Genomic DNA, 10,503 nt, shown 5'->3' with positions numbered 1-10,503 from the left:
ATGCACAGAACATCAAACTAAGCTTCTATATGGAGGAGTCACTTCAGATCTGTTCATTACTCGGTGCTATTGACAATGGAATCTCGCCAGAAGTAAACAAACAAACAAACAAAAATGGCCATTCGACCTCACAGTCCAGGGACACATTGTAAGTAACTAATGGAAAGCAGTGTCCCATCATTTCTCAAGAAACGAATAATTTCCCACAACTGAAATTTGTATATGCCTTCAATGTATTTCTTAAAGTTCTGAGATTTTTTTTTAATGCCCAGATTTCTTGATTTGCTGCACTCTTGAAACTAAACTCGGCCCAAGTTTATCATTAAGAAAAAGTTTTATTCTGCAGTAAACACAATGACAGCTCTCCCCTGTGCTAAGCTTCTCACGCGCGCATCTTCATTGAGTCTCAACAAAGCCCCGCGCAGAAGCTACTGTTGTTGTCTTCACTTCACAGACAAGGAAGCGGGCCCACCCAGATCTGCGGGCACCAAAGCCTGGCTCTCAATAACTGCAGATGAGGAGGGGCGGGTGCAGAGCTGACCAGGCCACAGCCACCCAGCAAGCTGTCTCTTCCTCATAGAGATATGATGAACATGCAATGGTGTCAAGATGACCTCTTTCTGTGCCCCTGATTACTGAATAAAGAGGGGAAATGGCCGGGTGAGGTGGCTCACGCCTGCAATCCCCAGCATTTTGGGAGGCCAAGGTGGGTTGATCATTTGAGGTCAGGAGTTCGAGGCCAGCCTTGCCAACATGGTGAAACCTTGCCTCTACTAAAAATACAGAAATTAGCTGGGCATGGTGGCAGGTGCCTGTAGTCCTAACTACTTGGGAGGGTGAGGCAGGAGAATCTCTTAAACCCGGGAGGGGGAGGTTGCAGTGAGCTGAGATTACGCCACTGCACTCCAGCCTGGGTGACAGAGCAAGACCCTGTCACAAAAAAAAAAAAGAGGGGAAACTGAAATTCCCAAAATGGCCCCCACATCATCAGCCCAGTGACCCCAGGAACCCCCAGTCAGTGCCACCACATTTGCCCACTTTCCGACCTCAAGTGTGTAATGGACGTGGCACAAATGTCCTCCCCCACTCCCACAGCTCCTTGGTGACTTGTAGAAGGAAGTCCCTTGCTCCCTCTCAGCTCCCTGTCCTGCAGCCTCCTCTCCCCTGACAGTTCCACAGCCCCTCCGGCTGCAAGTCTTTGCCCAAATGCCACCTTCTCTGTGGGGCCTCCTTTGACAGTCAGTTCAACACTGGTGCCTCCCTGGGATCGCGTCTGATGCATGAGATGCCCAGTAAGACGTGTTTAGTGACAGAGAGTGGCTCGGAGAGTGGCGCTCCACTGCAGGACATAAGGCCCACCCCTCAAGGTTCCTTAACATGCGACCACTCTGTAGTACCAAGGGTTCTGTGGCCTCTCTGGTATAAACGGCTTGAAAATCCCATGCAGGATAAGTGCGTAGACAGGCTTCCCATGACACGGCAGGTCCATTCCAACACCGCGAGGAGAATCCACTTCAGCCCCATCCTGCACCCGCTTTTCCCCGCGACGGGGCAAGCTTCCAGGAGCCCTCCTCCTCACGGTGATCTCTTACATCATTCACGGTAGCAAGTCTAGTGCTTTATATGTGTGAAAATTTAAGAGCTAACTCATTTTACCAGAAGCCCAAGAGGCTGTCCGGTCCACCCAGGTGGGGACCGGAGCCCACCCCGATCTCAGGTCCAATATTTGCTCACGTTCAGGCAGCAAAAAACATCCTTCCACTATGTTCCGGTGAGCCAGCAGTTCACCACTGAAGAAATAAAAACAACAACAACAACAGATCCAGCCAGTTGAAACACTTGTTGATGCTAAGTGCCACTTTAGTGTGTGCCGTTCCCGGAAGGCTCAGAACAAAGCAAGCTGTCCGTTGAAACAAAGCTCCCCTGCAACAGCGGAGATGCAAAACCAGGGACTCTATTTCCCTGCTGATATGCCGGGCAGAATTTGGCCCGCATCACCAAAGTACGGTCAGCTCACCTGTGTAGGGGTGGCTCAGGAAGGAATGACTGAAGGGTATACAAATTACTCTGTGGCTTCAGGGGGTTGAGTCTCTAATTCAAGGTCTTGCTGCTAATTCTAAAGTCATGCTTGGCAAAGCACATCACTCTAGAGTTTCTACTTTTGCTTCCTGCATTCCCTTGACATTTCACATGCCGCTGCAACAGAGGGGTGGCTGGTCTCCTTTTTGCTTGAATAGCTGGAGTCCATACGCTGGGCTGGCTTTGACGCTGCGCCTGGCTCTCTCGGCTGCCTACGCCACCATGTGGAGACCATGTAAACACACAAAATGCCATGCGGCCAGCCCGTGCCTGGAACACCCACCAGGCAGCAGAGCTCCTCCAAGACAGTCTTCAGCAGGTGGCTGAACAGCAACAAACAGAAAAGGGACGTCCTAGGCTGTATCAGGGAAGGGATCTGATGTGACCATCCACCCAATGTCTCCACCAGATCAAATCCAAACTGCTGATATGCGGGGTAGAATTTGGCCCGCATCACACAAAGTAGAGTCAGCTTACCTGGACCCAGGGGGCTGGCCTCGGAGGTACTGAAGAGCACAGAGCTGCTTATCCAGGCTCCGAAATGCATGGCTGTGCCTTCCTCAGAGTTAGGAGCTCTCAGAGCGCCTAGGAGTGTGGGCTCGCCGGGCTTCCGTCCAAGCAAGTGCTCTGTTTCCGCGCCAGCCTTGGCTGTCTCCTGAGCCCCTGTTTCTCTCTGTGCAGGCCGGCATCTCTCCTCCTAGGCAACTCTCCCCTCTCCTCCTTTACCACGCCCTTGTCTGGTCTCATCCATCTCAGTCACACTGCCCATCCCCCTCCTTGTCTGAAGGATTTTACCTTTTAAGACTAAGTAGGTGCCACGCAATGGGTGCCAGGCTGCCTTCTCAGCAGCGCATCCCCACATAGCACACGCACCTTCCCCACCGCTCCCACCTCCAGCCTCCACACCACGGGGCAGGAAGCTGAGACCCTGCCTACAGGCAAGGGAAGAGACCAGGTAAGGGAAGAGGCCCCTCCAGATAAGGGAAGAGGCCCCTCCAGGTAAGGGAAGAGAGCCTGGATCTTACTGGAGTCTTCTAGAAGGCCCAATCAATCACATCCTTTTCCTTGCTTGAGTACTGAACTGATTAGGAAATGCCAGAACAGTCATTTGTGGGGGCTGAAAGCCCCCTTACATGACAGTAAGTAAGAAGCAAGCTGGAGAACATAGGGCAAGTGTACTTTACACGGAACCCAGAATTAGGCTCTCTGCTCAAGCAGCCCTGGGCCCTGCGTGTGCTCTCTGTGGCCCGGTTTCCCCACGAGGGGCAGAGATGAAAGGGCCCAGTTATGCTTGCCCCATGCTCCTTCCAACTCACCAATGAGAGAAGCAGGGAGCAGGGGTGAGACGGCTCTTGGCACTATCTCCACAAGCAGGAAGCATCAGGCCCGAGGGATAAGTCGACAAGTCGTGCCCCTCAGAGAGCCAAGCCTATGTCCGCTATCCAGGCTTATGGATGAATACGGCCTGCAAAGATCAGAACTCCCTCCAGGCCAGAAGGAGCACATAATCTCTTCCAGTCACAGCAAAGGTTCCCATCAGCATTCCCTGGCCAGTGCTTCCTTTGCCCAATAAGGGGCTGGACAAAAGGGAGGATGGCCTGTGTGATGGTTAATACTGAGTGTCAACTTGATTGGATTAAAGGATACAAAGTATTGGCCTGGTGCAGTGGCTCACACCTGTAATCCCAGCACTTTGGGAGGCTGAGGTGGGTGGATCATCTGAATTCAGGAGTTCGAGACCAGCCTGGCCAACATGGTGAAACCCCGTGTCTACTAAAAATACAAAAATCAGCTGGGTGTGGTGGCACGTGCCTGTAGTCCCAGCTACTCGGGAGGCTGAGGCAGGAGAATCGCCTGAACCCGGGAGGCGGAGGTTGCCGTGGGCCAAGATTGCGCCACTGCACTCCAGCCTGGGAGACAGAGCAAGACTTCGTCTCAAAAAAAAAAAGATACAATGTATTGACCCTGGGTATGTCTGTGAGGGTGTTGCCAAAGGAGATTAACATTTAAGTCAGTGGGCTGGGAAAGGCAGACGCACCCTCAATCTGGGTGGGCACAATCTAATCAACTGCCAGCACAGCTAGAATATAAACAGGCAGAAAAATGTGAAAAGAGAGACTGGCCTAGCGTCCCAGCCTACATCCTTCTCCTGTGCTGGATGCTTCCTGCCCTCAAACATCGGACCCCAAGTTCTTCAGTTTGGGAACCTGGACTGACTCTCCTTACTCCTCAGCCTGCAGATGGCCTATTGTGGGACCTTGTGATTGTGTGAGTTAATACTTAATAAACTCCCCTTTATATATGTGTGTGTATTCCATTAGTTCTGTCCCTCTAGAGAACCCTAATAAAGCCTGACTTGCAGTTTCACTCGGCTACCATGTCTCATCTTAATGGGACCCAAGGCCCAGTGTCCTAGGATTCTAAGACAAAGCTTCAAAGAACAAAATGACAAAAACAGCCAAGATGACAAGACTGGCCCTACTCTCAAGTCCAGGAAAATGGCCTGACTCAAGGAGTCTGTGCTGTCGGATCAGGAAGCAACTGACAGGCACTAGGAAGGCAGCCTGGGGCTGCCACTAACAGAAGGTTAAAATGATGGCGTCCAGGATGGACATGGAAGAAACAGTAGAGATTCAAATCATTGTAACATCTGGCAAGTGGACATTACAACTAAAATATAATGCTCTGTCATGAATGAGCTTCTAAATATTGAAATGATCCCAAAGACCATGGAAACATTGAATACCAATGAATATGAAACTCACCTAGCTTTTTAATTTCGTGTGTCCGTTCATCTCTTGTCAGTGGAACATAATTCATCTTCCGGCCACTCTCCCCGTAGCCCAGGAGAAAACCCCGTGATCTGCGTGGACTCTTGGCTCCAGACAGGCGTGGTGCCTTCCACGCAACGGACAGCCTGTCATCTGAGGACCGGACACGCACACGCAAGGGCTTGTTGGGCACTTCCTTTTCTTAAAGAGGGCAGGACACAAAAGTGGTTAGACAGTAGACCACTTAGAGTTTGCCATCATGCACATGAGGTCTTCAGACCCTGAGCCTCAACAATTAGCTGCTGAGCTTCAAACATGCATTTCTTGGTAACTAATTCTAGTAAGGACATTTTTCCCCCAAGGGTATCAATACTCTAACCACATATTCCTCCCCACATTTCATACCAAAAGGTCTCAAGAAATTAAAATAAAACATTCCATGTTGTGAGACTGCCCGCCAGAAATCTTGGATGTTTTACAGTGTCCCTTTTTATCTATTTCCTTTTGTCCCCTTTAGGCCAAAACTATATATTCTCAGGAAAGAGCTAAAGGTCAGTATAAAAATATAGCAGAGAGACATTATGTGCTATTTATAACTCTCCTCCAGAAAGCTTTTTCACTGTAATGTTGAAAAGACGGGCTTTCCTTGCCTTTACAATGAATCATTAACTGATTTCTATTTTGGGTCCTAATTTTTCTTCCATGTCTAAGCCTTGCTCCTCCAGACAAAGCCTGGCCATGCTACACCATCGCTGCTATCCTCTGTGTCTGTTGTTTTTTTTACTTGCTACATTAATCAGTTTTGAGAAATCTCTTGCTAAGCCAGTTAATCTCAAGAAATGCCCTCACTATAAACTTTCCCAAAGCAGTGTATTCTGGTGATCAATACTTAGTGTTTAAAATTTTGCTTGTATATCAAATAAGAGCTGGTATGTTTGGAAACAAGGGTTATGGATCATGTGACTACCACCTTGCCCTCTTTTAGAATATGCCACTAACCACATTGTAAGCCCTCATTTGGGGATCCAGTTAGGCTAAGGAGCACCTCTTTAATTGTGTAAGGCAGTTAGTTCCCAAGCATTCTTCCTCCATATATACATTAACCCCATCACCAATTCTGACTAATTTTATTAGATTGGAAAATTCCCAGCTAGGCTAACATTTCAACACTAAGACATAAAAACAAAATCTAATATCACAATTCAGCATGCCCTTCAAGAACACATAAATCAATAGCCTTTGGAGATGCTGAAATGGCAGACACCTGGTTCCAACGTCCTGAATCTAACCAAAAGGAATATCCACTTGTAGATTAGCTGGAGCTACCCAACCAGTCACTGGGCACCCCATTCCTATAGGCTACTAAGAGAACACCATGGTATGTTCAACAAATACTTTCCCCAATAATCAAAGTAGTAATTGTTTTAAAGGTTTTTTTTTTTTTGTTTTTAGTCCAAAAGTATAGTCCAGTAAAATGAGCAGATCTACTGAGAACACACACACTGGTCTTATGTGAGTCAGCTGGAACATAAATCATTGAGCAGAGACAGCATCCTCTGCCCTGAACTCTGCTCCAGTCCTGAGACCTTCCCAGCCGTGTGTCTGGGGATGGAAACTGATACTGGGGGTCACAGTGTCCCTGCTGGGCCCTGGGGAGGATGGCAGTTCTCTGTTCCAGGACAAACCAATTCTGACTCGGCAATCCCTGACACTCAACCGTAATAAGCTGCAATAAAAATTTTTTAAAAGGTCTTTGAAATTTCCTGAGGGTCGGGGTCCCTGAGGAGTCAGGAGTGAAGTTCCAAGGACAAGGAGCCTGGTCACAGATGGCACAAGCTTGTTGCCTGCAGTGTCTGCCGGTGGCTCTGTCCTGCACCATGCCAGGTTCACTAAACATGAGCCACACACCCCAACAGCAGGGACAACAGCTTTCTGCTCATTGCACACGCTTCCCCCTTCCAGGCTCTGGCCTTGCTGTCCAACCTAGAATGAGACCAGGCCCACTGAACAGCTTTGGGGACAGGGCTGAGGCTGGCTCTTGCAATCCCCCTATTTTATGGAATGTTTCGCTCTGCAGCAAGCTCTCACATAGTTCATCTAGCTGTCCTTAGAACAGCTCCAAGGTAAGTAGGATAGATTCATCACCCCCATGAGAAAACTGTGGCTCACAGAGGGGAAGTAGTAGCTGACAGACAGTCACATAGCTGTTTAGGGCCAGGCAGAGTTCAGCCATTCTGATTCCCAGTTTCATCCCCTTTCCATGATGCCCCTTTCATTTAAGCTCCTCCTTACCCCATGGGCCATCCCACCAACCTCCCAACCTCTTCTAATGAATGTGAAACAAGGGATTTGAGCCAACAGGCTCCCTTCAGGGTATAAACACATGACTGCTTTGCCCAGTAGGCATTACATATAACAAAAAGTATTCTCAGCAGGTAGCAAACGGACAAGAGAAGGACTGTCACCAAATACCACCCAGGAAGAACTGTTCCCTAGACAACATGGAGCTCGCTGTCTCGGTAATAACCAGAGTGAAGTGAGAATGTCCTCCCTCTAAACACAATTGTCTCTCTTTCAAATCTTTGGGTTTAGAAAAACCAACCCCATTTTTTTCAAGTATTTTGAAAATTTCCTTTCTTTAATACTCTGGTTATATATACCATCAAACATCTTTGATAGATCATCTGGTAATCCTCTTTTAAACTGATGTGCATATTAAGAAAACTAGCCATATGGTTCAAATTCATTTGCAATTAAACTATTTAAGTGTTCTCTCTGGGCTGTATGTGATAGCCTCACCAAAGCCTTCTGAAATTCTCTAATAAATCTGTGTAAGTCTTTTATCTTGAAAACAGGAAGTCACAACTGCCAAGGGTAATGGAGCTTGCATCCACCAGCGCTGAATGTACTTCAAACTTGGCTGGACACATTCCCTCAACTGCTGTTGGTACAACGTAATCAGGTGAATTGCACTCAGAACTGGCTGATAACAGAAGACCTGCGGCAACTAATGATATGTCACCCACTTGGCAGGTCCCCTGGGTGAAACAATTACCATCCAGATTGCAGTAGACCTCAGAAACCAGACAGGATTCAAGTATTTCTCCGGATTTGTGCCACTGGCTTTGCAAATTGGCAAATATTCTGAAGTTGTATAGAATCAAAATCTCTTCTTTTTACAAAGAAAATAATCTAAAATTCAATATGATGTTTTACCCATTCTATGCTAGTTAAACTTGGTAGCTTCTGAATTGGGCTTGAAGTCACAGGCTCTGAAGTCAAAGTCTGAATCGAATCTATTACAGGCTATGTGGCTTAGACCTCTCTGAATTTCAGTTTCTTCTGTAAAATAGTGCACAGCATATGCACTTTGTAATATAACCATGTAAAGCGTTCGGTGCCATACCTGACATATGCTGTATTAAGCACACTAGTTGTGTTTGTGGGCCTGACAAAAATGAAATCCCTCACTTACTAGATTCACTACCTGAGTGGGTAACCCCCTTCAGAATGGGAGCCGTGAATGTATCACAGAGCTTACCACCAGGCCTTGCATACAGGGGCACTAAAAAAAAAAATGTTTCAAAGAACCAAATGTGAGCAAAAGAGAGGGCTTATTGCCAAGGACCCTTTACATTGAAAATCTTTTCAAATATGAGGTTGCCTATAGCCAGATGAAGAGCGTTATTCATCTTCATCAACATCTAGCAATTATCAGTCACTCGAAATCCCTCTCTTCATTGGTGTAAAAGAACGCATGACCACAGCTGTCTGGCGGCTACTTTCTGTTGGCCCAGGTCTTGCCTGGCAGGACATGCTCACTTCCCAGCAGAATGTGAGGTTTCACTCCATCTACAGCCTTGAAGAGCCGCAATTTGTCTGGTTTGTCCCACTGACCGATCTGACACCCCACTGCGCTGACCACCAACTTCACAAAGATGGTCCTGATCTCTATCCCCGTGACCTGAAAGAGCAGGCCTGATGCTCACAGGCCTTCAAATACCCACCTTACCCCAGGCAGCTGCCCCACCATCCCCAGCACCAGCCTCCATTATAACTGTGGACACCAATCTGCACGCCGGGGGTGGGGGTCAGGGGGTGTCCAGCCATTTAGGCCGGAGCCATGGTGCTCGAAGTTCAGTGTGAACCAGAAGCACCTGGCCAGGGTGTGTTTTCACCTGGCCTCCCACCTCCATCAGGACCAGGCCTTTTGTGCACTCCTGATGAAGAAGCTTGATAAGGAAGAGGTGAGAAGCCTGAGAGGAAGAAGAAAGAGAGGGCAGGGAAAGGGGTGAGAATGTGTGTCCGGGAGCAGTGAAGGTCGGCTGCTGATAGCCAGATGGGGGCAGGACATCAGCTTTGTTGGCCATACTCTGCATCTGAACTCCCTGACCCCAGCTCATGCCCAGGCCCGGTGCTGCCTGACATCTCCAAAGTTGGTGAGCTCCAGCAAACGCCACCCGAGCCTGCATCCACCACAGGCTCGTTCTTCCTGTGCAAGTTCTGACACATAACCCTCCTGAAACACCTTTGAATTGATTTACAGTACTCTTCTTCTACATACCCAATATTTGCAATACTTACGTAAAGTCCCTCTTTAATGCCATATTTTCTCTCCCATAAGCAGCCTCAGTACTTGTAACTATGTACTGGTTTTCTGTGATACTTGGTTAGGCCCAGCTAGTTAACAGTAAGGAGAAAGGGCACTTGGCAGCCATCCTTGAAGGCACCCAATCACAGCCCATCTGCTGACCAAAGAAGTGAGGCTCAGAAAGGCTAAGGGAACATCTCAAAACCAGACAGCAGGAAGCCGAAGCCAGAATTCGCACCCCATCTGTCGGATCGGTAGCCCTAGCTCTCTCCGTAGCAGCTCTTGTTGAGAAGCTCATGGTGGTTGCAGAGTTGGTGTCACCAGTAGCCATGTGTGGCACAAGCATCACACCTTCTCCAGGGGAAGGTCCTCTTGGTGCCTCCCAAATCACACTGGCGAAGGATGTGGTGGGCAGCACCAGGACGCCCTGGCAAGATGTGCATGTGCCCCGCTTACAGAGAAGCTGGCACAGTTCCCAAGGACCCGACTGCTCTTCAGAGGGCGTCAGCACCATCTGTCCCATCAAGATCTGCTCAGTGCACTATTCCTCTTAAATGTGTAAGTGTCTAGTGCTCTGGGAAAGACCCCTGATGAGGAGTCAAGCATGTGGCCAGCACACTAAGGACAGCAACACACTGCTTCCTCCAGAGATGCCAGAGGAGCACCCCTCAGCCAACCCCTGCAGTCAGTAAACTCTTGCTGCATTTTCAGGGATTGGAAGAAGAGGTCTTAAAAGCAGGAAAAAAAGGATGAAAAAGAGAAAGAAAAAGAAAGGGAAAGGACCTTGATCTCCCCTGAGCTAATCAATGCCAATTATTAATGTCATGAATCGTGGAAGCCCAAAGAACCTTTATAAAGCATTTACACTAACTTTCAAGACAAACCAGACAACATCACCACCTTCAGTTCGAGATTTCTGCTGCCCACAGCAAGCATCCAATATTTCAGAGACTCTGGCTTCCTGCCTTCCAGGATCCTGCCTGACATCCTGGGTGTCATCAAATCAGGAAGCCCCAGGAAATGCCACTTGACATGGAGTCAAGAAAGGGATTTTGCTGTCAG

At 48.3% G+C, this 10,503-nt stretch overlaps 1 protein-coding gene across 3 annotated transcripts in view; it reads right to left on the bottom strand.

Annotated features, from left to right (window-relative positions):
* Positions 1-10,503, bottom strand: part of FNDC1 (fibronectin type III domain containing 1) — a 102,709-nt gene that overhangs the window by 52,113 nt on the left and 40,093 nt on the right. For all 3 annotated transcript variants that reach the window (NM_032532.3, XM_011536190.3, XM_011536191.3), the window contains one exon: positions 4,845-5,051. In NM_032532.3, the coding sequence (NP_115921.2) occupies positions 4,845-5,051 (207 nt within the window). The remainder of the gene's footprint in view (positions 1-4,844; positions 5,052-10,503) is intronic.

The sequence above is a fragment of the Homo sapiens genome, chromosome 6 (genome assembly GCF_000001405.40).
Source record: "Homo sapiens chromosome 6, GRCh38.p14 Primary Assembly".
NCBI lineage: Eukaryota > Metazoa > Chordata > Mammalia > Primates > Hominidae > Homo > Homo sapiens.
This window is presented reverse-complemented; position numbering and strand designations above follow the sequence as displayed.